Source organism: Homo sapiens, chromosome 7 (genome assembly GCF_000001405.40).
Source record: "Homo sapiens chromosome 7, GRCh38.p14 Primary Assembly".
Lineage (NCBI taxonomy): Eukaryota > Metazoa > Chordata > Mammalia > Primates > Hominidae > Homo > Homo sapiens.
In genome coordinates this window covers 6,798,888-6,826,409 of record NC_000007.14, presented here as the reverse complement: position 1 = coordinate 6,826,409, position 27,522 = coordinate 6,798,888, and the positions used below count along the sequence as shown (strand labels likewise).

The 27,522-nt window shown below is 46.1% G+C and overlaps 1 protein-coding gene across 1 annotated transcript; it reads left to right on the top strand.

Annotated features, from left to right (window-relative positions):
- The first annotated feature begins 134 nt into the window (after window positions 1–134).
- On the top strand, window positions 135–27,473 carry CCZ1B (CCZ1B vacuolar protein trafficking and biogenesis associated). Its single transcript, NM_198097.5, has 15 exons — window positions 135–332; window positions 1,673–1,770; window positions 1,862–1,955; window positions 2,244–2,321; window positions 3,050–3,097; window positions 4,046–4,129; window positions 6,469–6,644; window positions 11,565–11,646; window positions 13,373–13,434; window positions 14,347–14,458; window positions 20,373–20,406; window positions 21,355–21,472; window positions 24,887–25,045; window positions 25,335–25,462; window positions 27,131–27,473. The coding sequence occupies exons 1-15, from the start codon at window positions 213–215 to the stop codon at window positions 27,184–27,186; spliced, it is 1,449 nt and encodes a 482-aa protein (NP_932765.1). The 5' UTR covers window positions 135–212; the 3' UTR covers window positions 27,187–27,473.
- The last annotated feature ends 49 nt before the right edge of the window (window positions 27,474–27,522 follow it).

Genomic DNA, 27,522 nt, shown 5'->3' with positions numbered 1-27,522 from the left:
GCGAGCCAGCAAAACACAAACTCGGCCAGGAAACAGACAACAAGGCCACCCGGGGGTGCCTGAAGAGGACGCTGCGAGGCGGATTCTTTTTCCGGGCCTGCGGCGAGTGCTTCCGGGGCGGTGGCGACGGAGGCGGAAGTGCGGTGTTTTAGCCGGTGGCTGCTGTCTCTGGGCGGGCCGTGGGAGGCTCCCGAGGTGGGGGCCGGGGCGGGATGGCTGCAGCGGCGGCCGGGGCCGGGAGCGGGCCCTGGGCGGCCCAGGAGAAGCAGTTCCCGCCGGCGCTGCTGAGTTTCTTCATCTACAACCCGCGCTTCGGGCCGCGCGAAGGACAGGTATGCGGAGGGGGCGGCGCGCGGGCGGGCGGCGCCGGTGTTCCCCGGGAAGGTGGCCCTGTGGTTCTGCCCACCTCGAGGGGCACTGACCTAGCCTGCATTGTGCCAGGTGCGAGTCCGGGCAGGGGGCTGCGGCGGGGACCTGACAGCAGGCAGGGACCGCTTCAGGTCCTAGGTCGATGGAATAAAGCCCCGTCGGGTCTATATCACTCCACACCCCAGGTTGAGGCTCTTTGCGCTTTGCTTTGCGTCAGTTCTGGGAAATTAAAATTGAACTTGGCTTTGTTAAGTGGGTAGTCCCCAACTAGAAGCGTGGAACCAGGGTGGCAGACGCTAGCCTTCAAATGATGCAAGCCTGGAGGTCCCTGTAATAGTTTTCGCCCAAATGAGGAAATAAATTAATTTCGGGAGGGGTGTGTGTGTGTGTGTGTGTGTGGTTTTTCTGAGGTGGGGACGGCGACTTTCTCAAAGGATGTCCGGAGCTGTGTTTTGTTTCCAGCAAGTCAGACTTCTGTTAAAGACTGTCCAGGCTGGGCGCTGTGACTCACGCCTGTAATCCCAGCACTTTAGGAGGCCGAGATGGGAGGATTGCTTGAGGCCAGGGGTTCCAGACCAGCCTGGGCAACATAGCAAGACCCCCAACTCTACAAAAAAAAAAAAAAAATTGAAAAGTGAGCCGGGCGTGGTGGCACGCACCTGTATTTCCAGTTACTCAGGAGGCTGAGGCCAGAGGATCGCTTGAGCCCAAGTGATTGAGGCTGCAGGTGAGCTGTAATAGCGCCACTGCACTACAGCCTGGGCAGCACAGACCCCATCTCCAGAAAAAGAAAAAAAAAACAACTTGTCAGTTCAAATGGCTGGGAACTGACTGGATTTAATTTTCAGGGAGCTATGTGTCTGCAGATGGGCACACCTTTACTTCTTACAAGCATTGGTGTATTACAAATTAGCACTAGGAAAGAAACCTGGAGACTTGAGTTTTCATAAAAATTACCTGGTGCTACTTCAGATGTGACTTCTTGACTATCGAAATTGCCTTTCTGACTGGTGGGCAGTATTTGCACAATGATGAGATCATTCCTGTTCTTCTTCTTATTTTAAATAATAGAGACGTCTCACTGTGTTGCCCATGCTGGTCTTGAACTCCTGAGCTCAAGTGATCCTCCCGCCTCAGCCTCTGAAAATACTAGGATTACAATTCCTGTTTTTCTAAAACCGGTTTTTGTTTTATTTTGTCATTAGCATGTGTGACACAAGAGGTCGACATTGAACTTAGCGTTTTCAATAGCTAAGATGAAATGTTTCTATTCATGTTGTGCTTCTGTTTCCTCATGTTTCAGGAGGAAAATAAGATTTTATTTTATCATCCAAATGAGGTAGAAAAGAATGAGAAGATTAGAAATGTCGGATTGTGTGAAGCTATTGTACAGTTTACAAGGTAATACCTCTAAGTGTGCCTTTAGCGTTCAGTGAATTCTTAAAACTGCTGCTGGAGAATTGTCCCAAACATATTTTTTTAACCTTTGTAGGACATTTAGCCCATCAAAACCTGCAAAATCTTTACATACACAGAAGAACAGACAGTTCTTCAATGAACCAGAAGAAAATTTCTGGATGGTCATGGTATTTACACACACAGTGTATCTTTCTGAAATTGTATGGTGAAGTTATGGGTGATCTTTACTGTTCAGAATTTAGGAAAGTTCTCTGGCTGTTGCATCCAAGTAAAATTAAAATAAAATTGGTTGCAATTTTAAAATCAAGTTCTTCCTATTTGCTTTATTCATTCTTGGGGCTGTTTTAAGAAGTTGTGTTTCTGGTGCTGTAGCATGTTCAAAGTTTTTAAATTAAGGCAAAATAAACATGGTCTAATGAATTCATTGTATAATTTCAGTTTATCAAACTTTGTAGGTTGTTCGGAATCCTATAATTGAAAAACAGAGTAAAGATGGAAAACCAGTTATTGAATATCAAGAGGAGGAGTTGTTGGTAATGTGTCATTGTTTGTTTATTTATTTATTTTTTTAAATGTATTGCTGAGTATGTTGAATGCCTTACTTGGTCGGATTTAAACTAGGAGGCTTTTGCAGAAGTTTCTCGGGGTATATAGCAAAGGTTTATGTTTATCATTTACATGAGCACAATCTTTTTAAAATGTATATGCACCCAATCTCACTAATACCTTCTACTCTTCATCTATATTGAAAGCCCTCCTAAAGTAAGGCTTACTGATTGACAAATTAGAGTTTAAACACTTCTGGCTGGGAACAGTGGCTCACACCTGTAATCCTAGTACTTTGGGAGGTCAAGGCAGGCAGATTACTTGAGGTCAGGGGTTCGAGACCAGCCTGGCCAATATGGCGGAACCCTGTCTCTACTAAAACTACAAAAACTGGCCAGGGATGGTGGCGCACACCTGTCATCCCGGCTTCTCAGGAGGCTGAGGCAGGAGAATCGCTTGAACCGGGGACGCAAATGTTGCAGTGAGCCAGGATTGTACCACTGCGCTCCAGCCTGGACAACAGAGCGAGACTCCATCTCAAAAAAAAAAAAAAAAAAAAAGAACGCAAACACTTTTTTTCAGCACGCAACTATTGTGGGATGAAGTTTATAAACATTATACTGTTTGGCCAAGAGTCAGTGTACCTTTGCCATCTATCCAGTAGACATTGTTTTTCCCTTGAACTGAGCTGTGTGCTGTGTTTTCGCGTCTGCAGGACAAGGTTTATAGCTCGGTGCTGCGGCAGTGCTACAGCATGTACAAGGTAAGCGTGGCGTTCTTTCTCAACTCAGAGTCCAACCACTTACCCCTATCTCTAGGCTCCAGGGTTGTTTAAAGAGAAGTCTATAAATGACTGCAAAGTGACTCTGTATTTGTCTTAGAGAAGAAAATAATGAGGCCTTTGAAACAGGTAGTGAGGTTTATGCCTACATTTATTCAGTAAGTATTGAACTCCCTTCTCTTTTCTCAGCCTTATAGTAGGAATGTGTCCCCATTGATGAAAAAGTGTATCTATGTGCTCAAGGAACATACAGAATGCAGATAATTTTATGATTTAAAAGTTTCAGTGAGGCAGGGCACAGTGGATCACACCTGTAATTTCAGCATTCTGGGAGGCTAAGGTGGGAGGATTGCTTGAGCCCAGGAATTCAGGACCAGTCTGGGCAATATAGCAAGACCCCATCTCTACAAAAAAATTTTATAAAAGTTAGCCAGGTATCATGGTGCATGCCTGTAGTCCCAGCTACCTGGGAGGCTGAGGTGGGAGGATCGCTCGCACCTTGGAGGTCGAGGCTGCAGTGAACTGTGATTGCACCACTGCACTCTACCCTGGGCAACAGCGAGATTCCATCTCAAAAAAAAAAAAAAAGGATAAAAAGTTTGGTGATTCCATTTATTAACAGAACACTGAAAAATAAAAAAACAGAAATGTGGGTGATATTATGTATGTAAATTGAAACTTAAGGGTAAGTTGAAATTTTTGAAAGATGCCTAGAGCAATTAGGTGGTTTCATAAAACAGCATCACTTAACAGTATTTTTTGTAACTTACATTTTTAACTCAAGTTTTCTCACGTAAATATTCTCTGTTGGAAAGAACTGGGAGATTTAATGAGCTGAATTAATAATCTAAAGGAAAAAAAGAACTTGTTATACTGAAAAAGTGAGCATAGGAAACTGATTTTTTTTTCTGCAATCTTTTACCTCACTAGCTTTTTAATGGTACATTTCTGAAAGCCATGGAAGACGGAGGCGTCAAGCTTCTGAAAGAAAGATTAGAGAAATTCTTCCATCGGGTAAGTATTTTGAATTTCATTTATAACTTTACTAAGCATTCATCAGGTTTTTAGAGAAATATAGACAGACAAGTTTGTTTCTTATCTACAAAAAACCCAGAACTTGAAAGTGGCAAAGAGCCTGAGACAGACCGTCGCAAAACTGGAGCAGCGAGGAAACGCATGAGGCGTGTGCTCTGGAACCTTCCCTCCAGCTGTGGTGTAAGGCAGAGCTTCCTGCGTTTGCCCGGGGCTCTTAAAGGGTCCTGGAGACATCGTTTGGCCTCCCTGTGTTTTACCTGCATCTGTCCTTCTGGGCTTACTCAGCAGCCATCTTTTGTGTGATAGATTAGTTGATAAGGAAAACTTAATTATTGGAGTTGCACAATCTCAGGGATTGGTTCTGTTCACTAAACGGGCGTAAACTGTCTTGATGTAGGTAAGAGTTATTGGCCTTGACAGACTTTGTCAGATTAGCGATTGGGGAGATTTGTTCCAAGTGCTGTCCTCTTTCGTTGTAATTGAATTTTGCATGTTTCACCCTACCTTGTCAAGCTCAGTTTATCTTTTTTTTTAAAAGGAAACAAAGAGACAGGGTCTTGTCTTGGCTGTTTTGCCCAGGCTGGTTTCAAGCGATCTTCCCTCCTTGGCCTCCCAAAGTGCTGGGGTTAAAGGCGTGAGCCAACTCGCCTAGCCTAGTTTATCTTGAAGCAACAATTCTCAATTTATTTTCTTCTGAAAATACCTTCTGTATCTATTTTTGAATTCGACTTTCTAAAACAGCTTTCATAGCTATTTTTGAATTTTTTTGTTTCTCTGAATTACTTTTCTTTGTTGTTTTGTCATTTTAATGACCACAATTATCCACTCGCATATTATCTCCTGGTTTCTGTTCTTGTCCTCATTTCTCTCTTACCCGTCAACATATGGATAGAACTGTTGTCCTGAGTACATATCATTTAGACATGATTTTAGTATAAGATGGCACTCTTGGCTGGGTGTGGTGGCTTACGCCTGTAATCCCAGCACTTTGGGAGGCCGAGGCGGGCAGATCTTGAGGTCATGAGTTCGAGACCAGCCTGGCCAACATGGTGAAACCTCGTCTCTACTAAAAAATACCAAAAAACTAGCTGGGCGTGGTGGCGCACGCCTGTAATCCCAGCTATTCTGGAGGCTGAGGCAGGAGAATCGCTTGAACCCCAGAGGCAGAGGTTGCAGTGAGCCGAGATCGCACCGCTGCACTCCAGCCTGGGTGACAGACCAAGACTCCATCTCGGGGGGGAAATAAAGATGGCACTCTCTGTAGTATTAATGGATAGATCCCTCATTAGGTTAGTCTAATTTGAAGAGCATTAAGGCAGGGAGTTAATTTTTTTTTTTTTTTTTGAGACAGAGTCTTACTCTTGTCACCCAGGCTAGAGTGCAATGGTGTGATCTTGGCTCACTGCAACCTTAGTCTCCCAAGTTCAAGTGATTCTCCTGTCTCAGCCTCCTGAATAGTTGGGATTACAGGCTACCACGCCCGGCTAATGTTGTAATTTTATTAGAGACGGGGTTTTGCCATGTTGGCGAGGCTGGTCTCAAACTCCTGACCTCAAGTGATGTGCCCGCCTTGGCCTCCCAAAGGGCTGGGATTACAGGCGCGAGCCGCTGTGCCTGGCCAGGAATTAAATACTTGAAAGTGCTAGCTGGGCACAGTGGCTCATGCCTGTATTCCCAGCGCTTTGGGATGCCTAGACACGAGAATCACGGAGGCCAGAAGTTCAAGACCAGCCTAGGCAACATAGCAAGACTCTGTCTATACCAAAAAAAAAAAAAAATTTTTGGCCAGGCGTGGTGGCTCACACCTCTAATCCCAGCACTTTGGGAGGCTGAGGCAGGCAGATCACGAGTCAGGAGATTGAGACCATCCTGGCTAACATGGTGAAACCCTGTCTCTACTAAAAATGGAAAAAAATAGCTGGGCATGGTGGCAGGCGCCTGTAGTCCCAGCTGCTCAGGAGGCTGAGGCAGGAGAATGGTGTGAACCTGGAAGGCGGAGCTTGCAGTAAGCTGAGATCGCACCACTGCACTCCAGCCTGGATGACAGAGCAAGACTCTGTCACAAAAAAATAAATTTAAAGCAGTAAAACACAATACTGAATAAACATTAAGTAGATAGTTTGAACTTTGTATCTTGGAATTGGTACTGAGTTGACACTCAGTCACCCATGTCTTCACCACGGCCTCATTGTTGTGCTGTTTGCTAGTATGTAATTGTACCATAAATGTGAGTCTGACATAAGATTATTTTCAGTTATCAAGGAGCATTATATTCAGTGTACTATTAGTAAATTTTATGCCTTATTTTTTTTCCACAGTATTTGCAAACGCTACATTTGCAGTCATGTGACCTACTTGACATTTTTGGTGGAATCAGCTTCTTCCCGTTGGATAAAATGACTTATTTGAAAATCCAGTCCTTTATTAATAGAATGGAGGAAAGCCTGAATATAGTCAAATACACTGCTTTTCTCTATAACGATCAGCTCATCTGGTAGGTACACCCCGAGGCATGGTATTAAAAGAAGAAATTAAGATAATAAAAACAGCAGTGACTGGATTGATGACAGGTTGTCAAACAGGAACTTGCAGCGGGGAGGATGGGTAGGAAGCATCTTCATAGATATTGTCAAAATAAAGCAGTGATTATTTAAAGCAGAACTAGGGTGATTTGGGTTCAAATTTCCAAGCAGAGGAGTTTAAAACTGGCTGCATGAAAGATGAAAGGCTGGGCACGGTGGCTCACACCTGTAATCTTAGCACTTTGGGAGGCCAAGGCAGGTGAATCACGAGGTCAGGAGTTGGAGACCAGCCTGGTCAACATAGTGAAACCCTGTCTCTACTAAAAATACAAAAATTAGCTGGGCGTGGTGGTGCATGCCTGTAATCCCAGCTACTCAGGAGGCTGAGGCAGGAGAATCACTTGAACCCGGGAGGCGGAGGTTGCAGTGAGCCGAGATGGCACCACTGTACCCCAGCCTGGCAACAGAGAGAGACTCTGTCTCCAAAAAAAAAAAAAGAATGTTCCTATCAAGTAAGATTTAGGAATCCTGTTTTTATTTTGGAGTTTTTTTTTCTGAAATGATAAATGTTAAAAGCAGAATTTTTATACCTTTTTTTTTTTTTTTTTTTTTTTCTTATAGAGATGGGGTTTACTGTGTTGCCCAGGCTGGTCTCAAACTCCTGGCCTCAAGCGATCCACCCGCCTCAGCCTCCCAAAGTGCTGGGATTACAGGCACGAGCCACTGCACCTACTTTCTTTTAAAGAAACTAGATTTTTTTTAATCCAAGAAATCCAAAGTGTTATATAAACCAGGAAATTACCTGCTATCGTGAAACTAGGTTTGTGTCCTGCAGTAGGAACAACGTGGGCACAAGACTGCCCAGCATATATGACCCCTGAGAGCTGGGTGGCAACCGAGGTTGTGCACATTTGGCCTAGAGTAGGTGGACAGAAGTCATCAAGGCTTGCAGCTGTTCCGGGACCCTCAAGTTTTATGTTCCCATTGACTAGAGCCCTCTTTCTTTCTTTCTTTCTTTCTTTCTTGTCTTTCTTTCTTTCTTGTCTTTCTTTCTTTCTTTCTTTCTTTCTGTCTGTCTTTCTTTCTGTCTTTCTTTCTTTCTTGTCTTTCTTTCTTTCTTGTCTTTCTTTCTTTCTTTCTTTCTGTCTGTCTTTCTTTCTGTCTTTCTTTCTGTCTTTCTTTCTTTCTTTCTAACGGAGTCTCACTCTGTTGCCAGGCTGGAGTACAGTGGCGCGATCTTGGCTCACTGCAACTTCCCCTTCCTGGGTTCAAGCGATTCTCCTGCCTCAGCCTCCCAGGTAGCTGGGATTACAGGCATATGCCACCATGCCCGGCTAATTTTTGTATTTTCAGTACAGACAGGGTTTTACCATGTTGGCCAGGCTGGTCCTAAACTCCTGACCTCAGGTGATTCGCCTGCATTGGCCTCCCAAAGTGCCGCGATTACAGGTGTGAGCCACCGCACCTGGCCTAGCCCCGTTTCTTAATTAGGGGTGTGGCCATATGGTACTACTATAAGGTAAGTTCAGCTAATAGAAAAGGCAAAACTAGTTCCCCTAAAATTTACCTTCCCTGCCAAAATCTTGTAGCTCCATTTTAAGAAGAGAAACAAGTTACTGTAAAGAAATTTGAATCCAGTTAATAAACAACTTGGTGGGTTTCCACATGAACTTTATCTCCTAGGAAGACAACACAAATTTCAGGTGAAACCCATCTACTTTTTTTTTTGTTTTTGAAATGGAGTCGCTTTCTGTTGCCCAGGCTGGAGTGCAGTGGCATGATCTTGGCTTGCTGCAACCCCTGCCTCCTGGGTTCAAGCAATTCTCCTGCCTCAGCCTCCCGAGTAGCTGGGATTACAGGTGAGTACCACAACACCCAGCTAATTTTTGTAGAGACGGGGTTTTACCATGTTGGCCAGGCTGGTCTCGAACTCCTGACCTCAAAGGATCCGCCCACCTCGGCCTCCCAGTGCTGGGATTACAGGTGTGAGCCACTGTGCCCGGCCTCCACCTACTTTCTAATTTGACAAATAGTTTATCAGGCAACCTTACGCTGTACTGACTCAGCTATAGTTGCTTTCTGTGATATGTACACAATGTTACTAAAGTGAAATTCTGCTGTGAAATGTAGGAGATGGGAGGCTAGTTGTGCTTCTGTAGCATCAGGTCTGCAGAGGGATGGCTCCTCCACAGATGGAAATGACAGGACGTGCTTGCAAATCACACGCAGCCACGGCGATAGGGAGATGTCGTGTGACAAGCCAGAATCCAGCAGTAGTGGCCCATGGCCTTGCTTCCACCAAAAAGAGAAGGGTAGCTGAGATTCTGATCTCTGGGACAGAACACAAGCCCCGCCATGGGTGCAAACTCCTGAGAGTGAGGAAGAGGGAAGGCTTAGAGCAGAGGGTCTTCCAGGAGCTCATTCTGGGAGACCCTGGAGCCAGAGTGACCAGCAGCGTTGGCCCTTTGAAGCCTGGAGTCACAGGACAATCTGGCGCCCAGCTCTGGGGATCCTGTTGGCATCGTCATCTTGGAATAGCATCTGAGGGGTTGAGCAGGGCACAGCTCTGGTGGCTGCACAGAACTGCTCGGTTGTCACCTCCAGTGTGCTCGTGGGGAAAGGTCAGTCCCAGGAAGTAGCAACAAAAATAACCTTCAAGAAAAACAGCCTCTTACTCCAGGCGCCAACGCTTACACCTGTCATCCCAGCACTTTGGGAGGCTGAGGCAGGAGGATCACTTGAGACCAGGAGTTCAAGACCAGCCTGGGCAGCATAGTGAGACTGTATCTCTACAAAAAATGCAAAAAAAAAATTAGCTGGGCATTGTGGTGTGCACTTAGAGTCCCAACTACAGAGACTACAGAGGTTGAGGCTGGAGAATCACTTGAGCCTGGAAGTTTGAGGTTGCAGTGAGCTATGATAGCACCACTGTACTCCAGCCTGGGTGACAGAGCAAGACCCTGTCTAAGAAAAAGAAAAACAGCACGTTTTGATGGAATTGCTTATTCCAAAGCTGTTATATTAAATACCAAAAAGACTTTTAAGCCAGGCGTGGTGCACATACCTATAGTCCCAGCTACTGGGGAGGAGGAGGCAGAAGGATCGCTTGAGCCAGGAGTTACTTGGAGACCAGCCTGGACAATATAATGAGGCTCTGTCTCTACCAAAAAGTGGAAAAAAAACATTTGTCACAAGCAGAGTATATATTACCCTTATGTATTTACTTAGTATATTGCTTTGATTTTTTTTTTTTGAGACTGAGTCTCATTTGCTTGGTTGCCCAGGCTAGAGTGCAGTGGTGTGATCTCAGCTCACTTCAGCCTGCGCCTCCCAGGTTCAAGCGATTCTCATGCCTCAGTCTCCCAAGTAGCTGGGATTAGAGGTGTGTGCTATCAGGCCTAGCAAATTTTTATATTTTTTAGTAGAGACGGTGTTTTGCCATGTTGGCCAGGCTGGTGTTGAATCCCTGACCTTAGGTGATCTGCTCACCTTGGCTTCCCCAAGTGCTGGGATTACAGGTGTGAGCTTCCGCGCCCGACCACCTTCACGGTATTTCAGTGATCTTGAATAGAAAACGCCCAGATCCAGCCTCATTGTCTGTCTCCTTTTAAAAAACCGGTTCCAGAGTCTGATACCTGCTAGTTTCTCTGTGCTTTTTCCATGTGCTGCTCCTTCCTGCCTCATTTCAGATCAGATGGTTTGCCTGAAAGCTTGTTTTTCTCTTCCTCCTCTTTCTTCACCGAAGATCCGGAGAATTAAAATCCATGTACATTTCTGAGACCTAGGATCACGTTCCCTGTCTACAGCATACCCATATTTTCCCAGGGGACTAGGGGAGAGAATGTGGCATTACCATATAACCCAGGAAGCTAAGAGACATCTGCTCCTAAAATGAAACAGTGTGGCTTTGGAGGTTTCCTGCATAATCCTACACGGAATTCAACCAGCGAGTCCAATCCCTTGTGACTTTTTTTTTCATCTCAAATGGCATGTAAAATACAGGACTGTAGGAGTAGCCTTTTGCAGGTCAGGATAAAGTTCCAGTGCCTGGGCTGAAGTTTAACTCTTTACCTTCCTTAACTTCGCGGTCAGGTGGTGAGCCTCTTGATATAATGTTAAAGAAAAAAGCACCAGTTGTCCCAGCTACTCAGGAGGCTGAGGTGGGAGGTTTGCTTGAGCCTGGGAATCGGTGGCTGCAGCAAGCTGTGGTCACACCACTGTAATCCAGCCTGGGCGACAGACGAGACTCATCTCTTGAAAAATGAAAAAAGATGAGACCAGGCACAGTGGCTCACATATGTAATCCCAGCACTTTAGGAGGCTGAGGCGGGAGCACTGCTTGAGTCCAGGAGTTCGAAACCAGCCTGGCAACGTAGCAAGACCCCCATCTCTACATAAAATACAAAAATTAGCTGATGGTGGCGCATGCCTGTAGTCCCAGCTAGTCTGGAGGCTGAGATGGGAGGACCGCTTGAGCCCTGGAGGCCAAGGCTGCAGTGAGCCATGATCGCACCACTGCTTCCAGCCTGGGTGACAGAGCAAGACCTTGTCTCAAAAAAAAAAAAGAAAAAAAAATTTTTTTTTAATAAAAAATGAGCTTTATCCAGGGCTTCAAATTCTTTGGAAAAGTTTGACAAAGTATACCACGTAAATTCAGATTTACCTCAATGCTAAGAATTATGTTTAGGAAAAAGGAAACTCATTTTGATCTCAGGTAGAAAAATAGATTGCTTTGAGTTTTAAGTAGCTTTAAACTTTAAAAAGTTAGAATTTATTCTGTGTTACTAAAAATGACTTGAAAAAAAAATTTTTGTTTAATGAGCTTTATCACAGCAGTGGAAAGACAGAAGACAGTTCGAAACGTTTAACCCAGTGCTTTTCTGTTGTTGCAGGAGTGGATTAGAACAAGATGACATGAGAATTTTATACAAATACCTTACCACCTCCCTTTTCCCAAGGCACATCGAACCTGAGGTATGATGGGTACCATAGCTGCACACAATTACATGCAGGGGCACAGAGAGGGCAGGTGGAGTGAGATGGTGGTGCATGGGGGTGTTTCTGATCGTTTCTGATGTATGTTTTGTCTTAGTGTGTTATTTATGTCACTGTATATCAATTAGCACAGAAAACCACATGCAGCTCTCCTCCAGTATGTGACATTCAGATGTGATACAGAAAGCATCGTTTTGTGTGTCTGTGTGTTGGTTTTTTTGTGTGTGTTTTTGTTTGTTTGGTTTTTGAGACGGAGTCTCGAACTTTCACCTGGGATGGAGAGGTTCAAGCAATTCTCCTTGCCTCGGCCTCCCTAGTACCTGGGATTACAGGCGCCCGCCACCACGCCCAGCTAATTTTTTTGTATTTTTAGTAGAGACAGGTTTCACTATGTTGGCCAGGCTGGTCTCGAACTCCTGACCTTGTGATCTGCCCACCTTGGCCTCCCAAAGTGCTAGGATTACAGGCGTGAGCCACTGCCCCCAGTCCACAAAGCATGTTTTTAAGAGGAGTGAGTCATTGAGTAGAGGAAAATTGGATTTTATTTTACTTTTAATTTATGTATTTTATTTTATTTATTTATTTATTTATTTATTGGGACAGAGTTTCGTTCTTTTCGCCCAGGCTGGAGTGCAGTGGTTTAATCTCAGCTCACTGCAACTTCCGCTTCCTGGATTCAAACAATTCTCCGGCCTCAGGCTCCCAAGTAGCTGAGATTATAGGCACCTGCCACCATGCCTGGCTAATTTTTATATTTTTAGTAGAGATGGAGTTTCACCATGTTGGCCAGGCTGGTCTCGAACTCCTGACCTCAGGTGATTGACCTGCGTCAGCTTCCCAAAGTGCTGGGATTACAGGCGTGAGCTACTGCTCCTGGCCAAAAAAATTGGATTTTAGGTTGGGTTCTAGAAACCTTTAAAATGCCAGTGATCTTTAAAACAATCAACCTGTGTAGTATTTTCCTCTATCAACAGGAGACCTAATTTTCAGTAGATGTTTTAGTGCCTACCTGGCTTTCCACTCTAGTACTTAATTTCCTGGTTTCCTGCAGAGAACTTTTAAATGATATCACTGTGTTCTCCCCAAAGTATTTTCAGAGCTTAACACACAAAAATCATTTTGGCTCAGTTGAACTCACTCTCTTCGCTTGTTCATTCCCTCCCTCTTGTCCTCCCGCTCTCCAATATTTTTTTTAAGAGATGAGGTCTCACTTTGTTGACTCGGATGGTCTCAAACTCTTGGGCTCAAGCGGTCCTGTCACCTCAGCCTCCCAAGTAGCTGAGACTACAGGTGTGTGCCACCACACCTGGTTAATTTTTTGTAGAGATGGGATCTCGTCATGTTGCCCAGGCTGTTCTCAAACTCCTGGGCTCAAGTAATCTGCCTGCCTTGGCCTCCCAAAGTGCTGGGATTATAGGCGTGAGCCACCTCACCTGGCCAAAAATTTAAAAACTAGCCAGGTTTGGTCACACATGCCTCTATCAGGAGGCTGAGGTGGGAGGGTTGCTTGAGCCTAGGAGTTCAAGGCTATAGTGAGCCATGATCATGCTGCATGCATTCCAGCCTGGGCAACAGAACAAGATCCTGTCTCTAAAAGAAAAAGACAAATGGCATGGAACCAATTAGTAGATAATGCTGTTTTTCAAAGCTTGGAAAATAAATAAAAAGTCTGATAAGTCATTCTCAACATTAAATGTATTTGCAGTTAGCAGGAAGGGATTCTCCAATAAGAGCAGAAATGCCAGGAAATCTTCAACACTATGGAAGGTAGGACTTCTGTTCTTTGATTTATGATACTGGGTTTTCTTTCTTTTTTGACTCAGAGTCTGGCTCTGTTACCCAGGCTGGAGAGCAGTGGCAAGATCTCCGCTCACTGCAACCTCTGCCTCCCCGGGCTCAAGTGATTCTCATGCCTCAGCCTCCCAAGTAGCTGGAACTACAGGCATGAGCCACTATGCCTGGCTAATTCATTTTGTATTTTTAGTAGAAACAGGGTTTCATCATGTTGGCCAGGCTGGTCTTGAACTCCTGACTTCAAGTGATCCACCTGCCTTGGCCTCCCAAAGTGCTGGGATTACAGGTGTGATCCACCATGCCTGGCCTATTATCTTTTTGGTAAAGATAATATGGACATTGAAATATCTTTGTGCCATCTGATTGACAGTAATCAACAAAGGAAAGTTTGTTGTTTCCAATGAGTTAAAACTTACTTCAGCATACCCTTTTTTTTTTTTTTTTTTTTTTTTTGAGATGGAGTGTCTCTCTGTCGCTCAGGCTGGAGTGTGGAGTACAGTGGCACGATCTCAGCTCACTGCAGCCTCCATCTCCTGGGTTCAAGCAATTCCCCTGCCTCAGCCTCTCTAGTAGCTGGGATTGCAGGTGCCCACCACCAGAACCAGCTAATTTTTGTAGTTTTAGTAGAGATGAGGTTTTGCCATGTTGGCCAGGCTGCCCTTGAACTCCTGACTTCAGGTGATCCACCCAGCTCAGCCTCCCAAAGTGCTGGGATTACAGGCATGAGCCACCACGCCCAGCCGGCCTATTCTGATATGGTGTTTGCCAAATAGCAGCTGGCATCAAAAGCAACTGGTGTGTATGAAGTGGGAGTGTGTTCTGTTTCTAGATTCCTGATTCTCCTTCACCTCGTTGAATCAAGTCATGTCTGTTCTTGCTTTTAAGATTTCTTACCGGACCCTTGAACCTCAATGATCCAGATGCAAAATGCAGATTCCCCAAAATTTTTGTAAATACAGATGACACTTATGAAGAGCTCCATTTAATCGTTTATAAGGTAACAACTGTTTTCCTTCCAGCGTTAATGATTGTGCTGAAATGGATCTTTCTTGCATGTGTACACGAGTGCATGTGCAAACCTCTTAAATGTTTCTTGGAAAAGATATTGGAAGTTCTGATTATGGTAAAACTCAAAATGGGTGTTCTTCCAGCGTAATAAGTTTATTTTCAGCTCCTTTTAAACAGTTCTGTTATTAGTGAAAGAGGAACTGTTTAAGATTGTGATTTATAAACGTGTGAAGTCTCACGTGCTCTCAAACCAAAGGCTGTCAGAGGTTGGTGCTGCCTGTTCTCGAAATGGCTCTGGATGGGGGCCGTAGCCACGTGTCTGTGCATATGCTGCTTTTGCTCTGATTTTAAAGCTGTAGGCTTGCTAATTCCATAAGGATCGTATTTTGTTTCTGTCAGGACATGGTCTTGTAAGGATATGTACTCAGGTTGTGTTTCTAATTAAAGGCAGTTTTTGATTCAAGAAAGAAGACGGAGCATGTGCACGTGTTTATCCTCTTTCCTGCCTGAGGCTGTGGAGAAGTTTTCATTTATAAAGGCTCAGAAATGATGCCGTGGGGGAACAGGAAGGAGCGGGATGTGTCAGGATGAGGGAGTCCTGTCCCTCTCTGGAAGGTAGACGGGACTTGTAAACCATGCCTGATAGAGGGCGGTGCCGGAGCAGGCCTGGAATATGAGTGGCAACCCTGTGCTAAGGCAAGGACCCACAGCCCTGTGGAAGCCCAGAGAGGCTCCTGACTTGGAGGAGGTCACCTGAGGAGTCAGAGTGGGGCCTGGGCCTGGAAAGGTGGGGAAGGGAAGTGAAGTGTGGCAGAGAGGCCAGTCAGCCTCCCCTTCCCCCATCCTTGCACAGACAGGCCCACGGCTGAGCATCCATCCCTGGGTGACAATCGAGGGTCTGTTTAAAGAAAGGAAACAGTCTGAAGAGACCCAGAGTGGCTAACGTGGATGTCTGCCCCTGAGAATGAGGCCCTGCTCATTCTGGCATTTCTTTCTTCCAGACAGAACTGAGACCTTCATCCTACACTCAGAGTGAAGCCTCCATCTCTGGTCAGCCTTCTGGTTCCCTCATTGTTAAATATGGCTGCAAAAACAAAACTAGAGGTCTCGAAAGAAACATGATTCCGAGGACAGACGAGAACTTTAAAAATTAGTATCCACTAATTAGAAGAGTTGTATCTATTAATATAAAATTGAAATGGGCCAGGTGCAGTCCCAGCACTTTGGGAGGCCAAGGTGGGAGGATCACTTGAGGCCAGGAGTTGGAGGCCAGCCTGGGCAACATAGTAAGACCCTGTGTCGACAGGAAAATGTTTAAAAATTAGCCAGGCATGGCAGTGCTCATGTGTAGTCCCAGCTACTCAGGAGGCTGAGGCAGGAGAACCGCTTGAGCCCAAGAGTTGGAGGATGTAATGAGCTATGATCACACCACTGCATTCTAGCCTGGGTGACAGAGTGAAACCCTCTCAAAAATAATGAAACTGGTATCAACAGTTTCATATCCAGCACCAGACATTATGTGACAGTGGAAGAGAGACTTTCAAAGTTCTGAGAGAAAATGAATTTGAGCATAGAGTTCTTTGCCATGCCAAGCTGTCAACCACAGATAAGACAAAAGAAAGACATTAGCCGGGGCATGGTGGCTCACGCCTATAATCCCAGCACTTTGGGAGGCCAAGGTGGGCGGATCACCTGAGGTCTGGAGTTCGAGACCAGCCTGGCCAACATGGGGAAACCCTGTCTCTACTAAAAATACAAAAAATCAGCCAGGTGAGGTGGCGCACGCCTCTAATCCCAGCTACTCCGGAGGCTGAGGCAGGAGAATCACTTGTACCCGCGAGGCGGAGGTTGCAGTGAGCTGAGCTTACGCCACTGTGCTCCAGTCTGGGCAACAGAGCAAGACTCTGTCTCAGAAAGAAAAAAAAAAACACGTTCAACATGAAAAGCCTCAAAAAGTTTACCGTCATGCACCCTTCCTGAGGGTGTTACACAGGGTCATCCGTCAGCAGAATAAGTGAGCACACCAAGAAGGAACACTTGGGAATCCAGAACAGTAGTTCTCATGTGTGAGACGGTACAAGGAAATCTTGGGGTGATAAGGCTCTTCAGGTCTGCTGGCGGCACCCCACCTCCAGCAGCTCCGTGACAGCAGGAGGAGGGAGGGCTCTAGGGTTCAAGCCGCCAAGATAAAAAGATGTTTCATTCATCACATGGTGTGCTTGAGAGTCACTTAAAGTTGGGCTGTGACAGACTGGCAGGGAAGGGGAGATTGCAGGCAGAGCATACAGAAAGATGTGGTCTGAAAAAGCAAACCAAAATGTTGGAGGTGTAATTCAGAGCAGGAATTGGAGTAGGAAGAATGTCCGTTTGTGTATCGAGTGAAAGTTTGAGACCCCATCTCAAGAAAAAAATCATCCTCCTTTGAATGACCCAGGTAATGACTGAAATCTCCATAACCCTGGTGTGTAATATGCTGTCGGCTGCATTTCTATTTTTAGAGTCAATCTACAGACATATTGTGGGGTGTGATGATGGGGTTGTGGCTATGTTAAAGGGTCCTTACCTTTTTCTTAATGACTTTGAGATACAATGCACGTACCATACAACTCACCCTCCTACACTTAAAATGTACAGTTCAGTGATTTCTAGTTGCAAAGTTCATGAGTCTCCAAGACCATCCTCACTTCTGACACCCACTGCGAGTTTGGGAGTCCCCGTGACCACCTTTAGGGTAAGAGTTCTCTAGAAGTACTACAGGACTCAGAAAAGGCTTTCTACAGCAGTACCCCCGAGCCAAAGGCCATGTGTTCCAAAACCCCCGGGAGGTGCCTGAAACCGGGGACAGTACCAAACCCTTCACTTGCTGTGTTTTTTCCTGTACATACATGCCTGTGATAATGTTTATAAATTCAGTACAGTAAGCGATTAATAAGGCTGGGCGCAGTGGCTCACACCTGTAATCCCAGCACTTTGGGAGGCCGAGGCAGGCAGATCACTTGAGGCCAGGAACTTGAGACCAGCCTGGCCAGTGTGGTGAAACCCTGCCTCTACTATAGATAGAAAAATTAGCCAGGCATGGTGGCATGCACATGTAATCCAAGTTACTCAGGAGGCTGAGTCAGGAGAATCTCTTGAACCTGGGAGGCGGAGGTTGCAGTGAGCCAAGATCGTGCCACTGCACTCCAGCCTGGACAAGAGTGAGACCCCATCTCAAAACAAGTAATAGTAATCATAATTGGACGATGACACTCTACTGCAATAAAAGTCATGTGAATGCGGTTTGCTTCCCCCTTCCCTCAATATTTTATTATACTGTCCCTCACATAACAGAAACCATGGGAAACAAAACCAGGGGGAAGGAAGAATGGCGGCACTCACAGCTGCGGTTTATTACAGTGGAAGAATACAGGTTAAAATCAGCCCGGGGAAGAGGCGTGTGGGGCAGGGCCCAGGAGCCACCAATGGAAGGACCAGGAGTCCTTCTATTTGCTTTAGGTTGGTTTGGGTTGGTTTGGTTTTTTGGGTTTTTGTTTTGTTTTTTGTTTTTTTTTTTTTTGGTTTTTTGGTTTTTGAGATGGAGTCCCACTCTGGTGTGAGCTTCCGGCTGTCCTCTCCCGTTGGGGTCATGTGGACAGCCCAGTGAGTGTTTCCCCATCGAGGATGTGTGGCTGTGTCTGTGGAGTGTTGACATCCAGGGAAGCTCACCTGAGCCTCGAGATCCAGAGATCTGATTGGGGGTTGGCCACAGAGACACAGCTGGCCCCACATGGCCAGCCTTAGTCTCCAGCCCTCCAGAGGTGGAGCGGGTGCTGTGCGGGCTTGGGTGTAAGGGATATTGGCCTGTAGTTTTGTTTTCTTGTGATATCTTTGGGCAATGCTGGCTTGATAAAATGTGTTGGGAAATGTTCCCTCCTATTTTTTTGGAAGACAGTGAAAAATTGGTGTTAATTCCTCTTTACATGTTTCATAGAATTCACAGTCAAGCTCTCTGCACCTGGGCTTTTCTTTGTGGCAAATTTTAAAGTTAACCATTTATGCCCAGTGTTCCATTATTGGAACACTAAGCTTGTGAGAGTTATTTATATCCTGCTGAAGGTCATTGCCAAGGTCTCATTTTTCACAAAAAAGATTTACAACCTCCAGCATAAATGGGTTAATCTCTGTACTTGTTACAGGTTTATTTTGATTTTGTTTCTTCTTGAGTCAGCTTTGGTAGTTTGTGTCTTTCTAGGAATTTGTCAGCTTCAATTAATTTATTTGATTTGTCGGCACGTGGTTTTTCATGGTATTGTAGGTAAAGCCGGATACTCCTTCGTTTTTCCTGTAAAGTCAGTAGTGATGTCTCCTCTTTCATTCCTGGTTTTAGTAATTTGAGTCTTCTCTCTTTGTTTCTTGTTGTATAGTCTAGCTAAAGGTTCTTCATACTTCTGGAATCTTCACAAGAAAAAGGAAAAGTTTTTCAATGTTGGGTCTTTTCAGAGAACAACTTTTGGTTTCATTTATTATCTCTGTGATTTTTCTCTGTTGAGTTTGTTTCTGCTCTCATGCTTTATTATTTCCTTCCATTTGCTTTAGGTTTGTTTGGGTTTTTTTGTTTTTGTTTTTGTTTTTTTTGAGACGGAGTCCTGCTCTGTCACCCAGGCTGGAGTGCAGTGGCACAGTCTCAGCTCACTGCAACCTCTGCCTCCCAGGTTCACATGATTCTCTTGCCGCAGCCTCCTGAGTAGCTGGGATTATAGGCGCACCACCACGCCCGGCTAATTTTTTTGTACTTTTAGTAGAGATGGGGTTTTGCCATGTTAGCCAGGCTGGTCTCAAACTCCTGACCTCAGGTGATCCGCCCACCTCGGCCTCCCAAAGTGCTGGGCTTACAGGTATGAGCCACCACACCCGGCCCCACTTGCTTTAGGTTTAGTTGACTCCTGTTGTCCAGGATCTTAAGACGAAAGGTCAGGTCACTGATTTGAGATCTTTCTTCTCTTGAGACAGGATCTCGCTCTCGGAAGTGGGAAGAGGTACTGGGGCAGGTGGGAATGTGAGTTCAGGAGCGGAGGCTGTGGCTGGTGGAAGGCGGCCAGCGGAGGAAATAGAATGCTATAAACCATAGAGGAGGAGGGGGAAGGCAGACGAGGGGTCACACCTGTCATGACATGAGCAGGAAGTCAGTACGATGCCCAAAGAGGATACGTTGAAGAGTTAGGATAACGCTGTTGTCTAATGACAGTGTAAAGTGGTTGCCGGGGAGGAGGGTCAGAGAACGAAATCTGTGGCTTTCATCATCAGGCCTGGTGTTCTGCTCAGCCTCTCTTAACCATACATTGCTTTGATAACTTTTAAACATTTTTGGTTATCTGTGGTCCTGGTTGTTGTCGGTTGCTAGGTCTAATGTCATAACTGTAATTACTTGCTATAATAAAGTGAGACAGGATGATATCCATTTGCTGTCTTTGTAAACGTGTGTCAATGGAAATCGTCACAGAATAATGGACAGTTTCTGCCAATTCTCTATTCTCTCTGGACTATACACAGAGAGATTAGAACAGTGAACCCCTAAGTCCCCATCACACAAGTGAATAAGATTCTGGTCTTCGTTGCTTCTCCATGTTGTGTTGTCGGGTTTGCAAGAGCATTTTAAGTCATCACGTCAGTCACGAACACTTCCCTGTGCCTCTCTGATGAGGACATCCGTGGTAACCTCCCCACTGGCGCTGTCACACCTGACAAGGTCAACAGCACTCCCCTCGCATCATGGAATGGGCAGTCTGTGTCCAGATGGCTCTAGTTGACCAAAAAGCAGCTTCTTACAGTTGACTTCTCCCCATTGACTTTGAACAGATTGTTATTATACGAAAGTCTCCTTTTTTCCACCATTTCATAACCTCTGGTTTGTTCTGTCTTCCCAGGCCATGAGTGCGGCTGTGTGCTTTATGATCGACGGTGGGTACGCGCCTTTGTCTGATTTCAGCCTAAGCTTTTTGTACTTTGCTGCATCCTATTCTTAAGTGATAAATATGTTTTGGGGGTTTCGGTTGTTTGGGGTTTTTTTGTTGGAGACGGGGTTTCACTCTTGGAGTGCAGTGGCATGATCATAGCTCACTGTAGCCTCGACCTCCTGGGTTCAAGTGATCTTCCCACCTTGGCCTCCTAAGTCGCTGGGACTGCCAGTACACACCGCCGGACCCAGCTAATGTTTTTGTGGTTGTTTGTTTAGACAGGGTCTCACTATGTTGCCCGGGCTGGTGTCAAACTCCTGGGCTCAAGCGATCCACCCATCTTAGCCTCCCAAAGTGCTGGGATTTCGGGCGTGAGCCCCCACACCCAGCCCATTAAATGATAAATGTGTTGTCATAAGCAATATAGAGGCATAGAGAGGAGCCCTGTTCCCCATCTGGGACCCCCCTGTCTCCTTAACTAGCCAGTGCTCATATTTTTTAAGTCCTAGTTTTCCCGCTAGTCAGCAGTAGAGTGTGGGCATCTTTCTGTGTCCCACCGACTGCGAGCTGGAGACAGCAGTGGTACCTCTCTCGGGGGGGTTCTGAGGATCGAATGAGGTCATGTCTGTGAAGCACCTGGCCCATGAGTGCTACGTAATGTTTGTTAAATAAACATACGACCTTCTGAGGTCTTTCTGGGGTAGGCAACCGTTTACCACCCTACAGGGTGTGCCTCGGTCAGCTTTTCACGGTGAGATAGGTCTTCGCCCTTTTTTCATCTGAAATGTAACCGGTTTTCTATCTTCTGTTTCTCTTCTATTTGAGGAGCAGAAGGGGGCCTGAGCATTCATTGTTTGTTTTCCCAGACCAGTGAAGTTTTCGTTTGAATACTGTTGTTCAGTGTCGCACAGTAAAATGAATCTTACTGGTATTTTTTGTCATGACTTGCCAGCCTCTGTCCACCCAACGTTGGATTTTTGCCGAAGACTGGACAGCATCGTTGGGCCCCAGCTCACAGTGCTGGCCTCTGACATCTGTGAACAGTTTAACATCAACAAGAGGATGTCTGGGTTTGTACTTTGCTTTCGGTTCACTTTCAGGCATTGAACGGCTTTTGAAATACACGTAGTTTTCACTTACAAATACGGGTGGTATTAACAGTCCTGTGTTCTCGTGGACTGTAGAGGATGGTGCTACGTGCCATTCAGGCCTCTGTCTGAAAGGGTCCCGGGGACAGTCACCCTGAGTGTTTCTGCCCCACGCTGGCAGCTGGGGCTGGGCCTTCTGGTAAATACCTTCCCTCAGCTCCCCCCGAATGGAACGTCCCATTTCACCAGCCCAGATTGTTACGTTCACTTGGACAGTAGTCATCGGCGTGGTCTTGGTGTGCACAGACTGAAAGCATTTTGCCTCTCGTTGTGTGAAAATGTGTAGGGGAAACTGGCTGGGATGTGGGGCACTGGGCCTGGGTACTCAGTCTGGCAGCCTGAAGTGTCTACACTGAGTGGGAGAGGCGGGATTCACTCCTCCGGCTCTCTAGACACTGAAATGTCCTTGAATTCTTTCTCCCTGGCTTTTTTTTTGAGACAAATTCCCACTCTGTCGCCCAGGCTGGAGTGTGCAGTGGCTTGATCTTGGCTCACTGCAGCCTCCGCCTCCCAGGCTCAAGCGATTCTCATGCCTCATCCTCTTGAGTAGCTGGGATTACAGGCGTGCACCACCATGCCCGGCTCCTTTTTGTATTTTTAGTAGAGACGGTTTCACCATGTTGGCCAGATTGGTCTTGAACTCCTGACCTCAAGTGATCCACCTGCCTCAGCCTCCCAAAGTGCTGGGATTACAGGTGTGAGCTACCGCACCCGGCCATGCCTATCTTTTCTCAATATAAAATAGTTATTATAAAGTGAAAGTGAGGCGATGGAAAGCACTTTGCGAAGTTGAAGTCCTGCTTTTAAATGGGCTCTCTACACATTTGAGAAGTTACTAAAAGGCTGTGAATTTCTGCATACGCTCATGGTCTTAATGTTCATACGTTGTTTTTTGGGTTTTTTTTTTTTTTTTAAGACAGAGTCTCAGTTGCCCAGGCTGGAGTGTGCAATGGTCTGTTCTCAGCTCACTGCAACCTCCGCCTCCCAGGTTCAAGCGATTCTCCTGCCTCAGCCTCCTGAGTAGCTGGGTGCCATCATGCCTGGCTAATTTTTGTATTTTTGTAGAGACTGGGTTTTACCATGTTGGTCAGACTGGTCTCGAACTCCTGACCTCGTGATCCACGCACTTCGGCCTCCCAAAGTGCTGGGATGACAGGCGTGAGCCACCGCGCCCGGCCCATATGTTATTTCTGCATGGTCTTGTATAACCGTGGGCCTCTAAGAGCGCAGAAGCGAGCAAAGGTGAAAGCACCTCTAGGTTTTGTACAACAGTGTGTGGATTACTGCTGTCAACAGCTTACATCTTTGTTGCTTTTTGTTTTTATTTTTTGAGACAGAGTTTCACTCTTTCACCCAGGCTGGAGTGCAGTGGCATGATCTCAGCTCACTGCAACCTCCAGCCCCTGAGTTCATTCAAGCAATTCTCCTGCCTCAGCCTCCCGAGTAGCTGGGACTCCAGGCGTGTGCCACCACACTCAGCTAATAATTTTTGTATTTTTAGTAGAGACAGGGTTTTGCCATGTTGGCCAGGCTGGTCTTGAACTCCTGACCTCAGGTGATCCACCCACCTCGGCCTTCCAAAGTGCTAGCATTACAGGCATGAGCCACCATGCCCAGCCAACAGCTTATATCTTGACAGTGCTGCTGAATCATTGAATCCTTTGGCCGTGAAAATACCAGGTTTTCCTTTGTGAAGGAGGCAAAAGTGAGTTAAATCGGTTTGGATCATGCAGGTTATCAACTAACAGATGGAAAGTGACAAAGTGTAGTGACCATAGAGAACGTGTCACCTGTTTTGTTTTTTTGTGGGTTTGTTTTTGGAGACAGGGTCTCCTGCTGTCGCCCAGGCTGGAGTGCAGTGGTGCAATCATGGCTCACTGCAGCCTTGACCTCCCAGGCTGTAAGTGAGCCTCCTACCTCAGCCTCCCCGGGAGCTAGGACTACAGGTGTGTGCCACCACGCCTGGCTAATTTTTGTATTTTTGGTAGAGGCGGGGTTTCGCCATGTGGCCTAGGCTGATCTCGAACTCCTGACCTCAAGTGATTTGCCTGCCTCAGCCTCCCAAAGTGCTGGGATTATAGGCGTGAGCCACTGCTCCTGGCCTCACAGAGTGTTTTGAGGATAGAAGCTTACACCCGATTTAAGTTCCTTGTCTACCCAGACAACTAAATTTACAACTCTTTCCAAACAGTTTTTCTTGTCATTATACTTTCCTTAACCTTAGGGAACTATGAAAACAAATTCTGGTTTTATAAGAAGTTTCTTTACATGTTCCTGGAAACTCAATCCTCCACGTTCTTTCTTTGCCTGGACGTAGAGTATTTCATGAGTACCCCATTGGTCCGGAGGTCGGATTTCTGGTACCCCCAGCCCTCCAGAACGTGGCTGCTAACCCTGAAGCAAGCAGAGGAGGCCTCTGAGCCCAGGGGCGGGGCTGTGCTCAGGCCCCATCCAGGCCCCAGGGTGGACACTGAGGGTGCAGGGAGGGGAGGGGAGGGGCCCCAGGAGCAGTGAGGCCCAGCTTTTCCCACTAGGTCCCCGAGGAGGTCACAGACTCTGACCTGGGAGGCAGCGTCGTAGCACTGCCTAGTCAGTTTAAGAAATAAAAAGGTATATCCCATTTAAAATGTTCATCAGACTGCAGTGGAAAAGGCGACTGCGTTTTACAGTGATGTCCACTGGGGATGATATGAGGGAAAGCTTCGTTACATAGTGTCGTAGGCTTCCCTCATGAGGCAGGTTAATTTCCACGGGACACTCATTCCCCGCACTGTGGGAGGAACGAGGTGTTACTCTCCTCAAGCAGGGGTCAGCAGACTTTTACGGTAAAGGACCCAATAATAAGTATCTCAGATGTCACGGGCTATATGTAGATACGTGTTAAAACTACTCAACTATCATTTTGGTGGGAAAGCAGACAGACAGCACATGAACATGTGGCAATGGCGAGGTTCCCGTGAAACTTTGTTTAGAAAAAGAGGGCCAGGGCCGGGCGCGGGGGCTCACGCCTGTAATCCCTGCACTTTGGGAGGCCAAGGCGGGTGGATCACAAGGTCAGGAGATCGAGACCATCCTGGCCAACATGGTGAAACCCCGTCTCTACTAAAAATACAAAAATTAGCTGGGCGTGGTGGCGGGCGCCTGTAATCCCAGCTACTCAGGAGGCTGAGGCAGGAGAATCGCTTGAACCAGGGAGGCGGAGGTTGCAGTGAGCCGAGATCGTGTCACTGCACTCCAGCCTGGGCGACAGTAAGACTCCATCTCAAAAAAATTTTAAAAGAAGAATCTAGTTGTATCCGGCCCGAGTGCTACTGTCTTCGTGACATGTTTTCACAGGTCTGAGAAAGAACCCCAGTTTAAGTTTATCTACTTCAACCACATGAATCTCGCCGAGAAGAGCACAGTTCACATGAGGAAAACGCCCAGCGTGTCGCTCACTTCCGTGCACCCGGATTTAATGAAGATTCTCGGTGACATCAACAGTGACTTTACCAGGTGATTCCAGCCACTTCTCCAATCAGGCGTCCCCTTTCTAAGACGAGAAAAGACACAGAAAATCCCTTCAAGCCCTTTCCATGGGGTTCAAGCGTGAACCACCTTCATGGGCGCCGCTTCCAAACAGACCCGGGAGCCCTGAAGTCACCGGTTCCCTCGCGCGGCACTCCCTGAGCCTTTTAAATGCCACGTGCGCCCGTTCCATTTCCTGTTCTTGGTTTGGAACGCTTATTCTCACAGTCTGGCCGTATGAGTAACGAACAATTGCATTTTGACCCTCGTCTTGCAGAGTGGATGAAGATGAGGAGATCATTGTGAAGGCCATGAGTGATTACTGGGTTGTTGGAAAGAAGTCTGATCGGCGGGAGCTCTATGTTATTTTGAATCAAAAAAATGCAAACCTGATTGAAGTAAATGGTAAGTAGGATTTGGTATTTCAGGAGAATTTGAGAAGTTGTCTTTTCATTGCATTAAGAAACATGGTTAAAAAATAGGTAAATAGAACAAATCATGACTGTTGAGATTCTAAGCAGGTGCCTCTGCTCCACATTTGATCCATTTTCTGTTCCTTGGAAAACTATGACAAGACCTTCCTGTAGCACAGGAAACTTGGCAATGGCAGAAAGAAAATTATTTTCTACAATTCTAAAAAAAAAAAAAAATGACTTTATATTAAGAAATGTCCCCCTTTTTTTGGAGACAGGTTCTCACTTTGTCACACAGGCTGGAGTGCAGTGGTGCAATCATAGCTCACCACAGCCCCCAACTCCTAGGATCAAGCAGTCCTCCCACCTCAGCCTCTAGAGTAGCTGAGACCACAGGCATGTATCACCAAGGCATGTGTCACCAGACCCAGCTAATTTCTTTTTTTTTTTTGAAACAGAGTCTTGCTCTGTCGCACAGGCTGGGCTCAAACTCCAGGCCTCAAGTGATCCTCTGGCCTCCCAAAGAGCTGGGATTACAGGCGTGAGCCACCTTGCCCAGCCCAAAATGTCCTTTTTTAATATCCTGTGATAAAAACATATCTTTTGTAGGGAGAAGCTGCCGGGTTCACATAGCCGTTTACAAGTATCCCTCTGTACACAGGCAGAAGGAGGCAGACATTTTCTCCTGCCTTCCCGCCAAAGCGGCCAGCCTTGCCCACTGCACGGGGTGACCCGGCAGCTGCGGTGCTGATAGCTCGGCTGCCCTGGAGAGAGGGGACCTCACCTCGGCAGAGCTGCCCCCTTGGGAGATGCCCCACGTGTACACTGTGTGGAAATTCAGTGTAAGCGTTTTTTTCCCCTTGTATCTTGGGCATACTACATTTTTCTCTTTATTAGTAATACCTGTGTTAGTCATTGTGCGCACTAGAAACATCAGTTAATGCAAGCCTGATCTAAACTGTGAATGTGGTAAGATCAAAATCCTGACCCCTCTGCGGAGCACTTGGTCTGCAGCTCAAGGTTGCTGTCCGTTTCTTTGTTGTTCCATTAGTTGTCCCAGGATGACAACCTTGTGCTTGGTGTGTGTCACCAGCCTTGTGCTTCTAACCCCCTCCCCTGGGTGTCCCGGGCACTTTGCAGTTTCTCAGGCCCCGGGCAGCAGTGTTGATAGGCTCAAAACTCCTGAGGCCTGGTAGGTTTTGTAGGTGGATTTTTTCCCCTCTTCTACTTGTTAACATTTCTTGGCTGGGCACAGTGGTTCATGCCTGTAATCCCAGCACTTTGGGAGACCAAGGTGGGCGGATCACTTGAGGTTAGGAGTTCGAGACCAGCCTGGCCAACATGGCGAAACCCTGTCTCTACCAAAAAATACAAACATTAGCAGGGCGTGGTGGTGTGCACCTGTAGTCCCAGCTACTTGGGAGGCAGAGGCTGCAGTGAGCCAAGATCACACCACTACACTCCAGCCTGGGTGACAGAGCAAGACTCTGTCTCAAACAAAAAAAAAAAAAAAAAAATTCTTGCCTAGTCTTCTGGGATTTAAGGTCAAAATCAATGCAAATCTCTCTTCCTAATTTTACCCAAGAAGAATTTAATTATATATTATGTAACCTTTTAAGTGACTGCCTCTTCCTTCCTCACTGTTGTGTCCTTGTTGCAGAAGAGGTCAAGAAACTTTGTGCAACGCAGTTCAACAACATCTTCTTCTTGGATTGACGGATGACGGCTCACCGAGAGCATATCTAAAAAACACTCTGCAAACATTTGGTCACATGCAAGTTAGTGGTCATATGACGGACTGCATTCAGGACAAGGGTAAAGCAATACTTGCTTTGAAGAATCAGATTTCGACTCGGTCTGCTGATCTGAGGTTTTTAGATTTTAAATATTTATGTGGAATTAATTAAAGGTAGTTGGCTATATCGCTATCATTTCATTCTTTTGACATTATTTGAATATTTTACTGGAAAATAAGACTAATAAATTGTTAAAAGTTTTTAAAATTCTGGTTTGGTGTTGAGTCTCTCTCCTGCTGCCTATTTATAGATTACA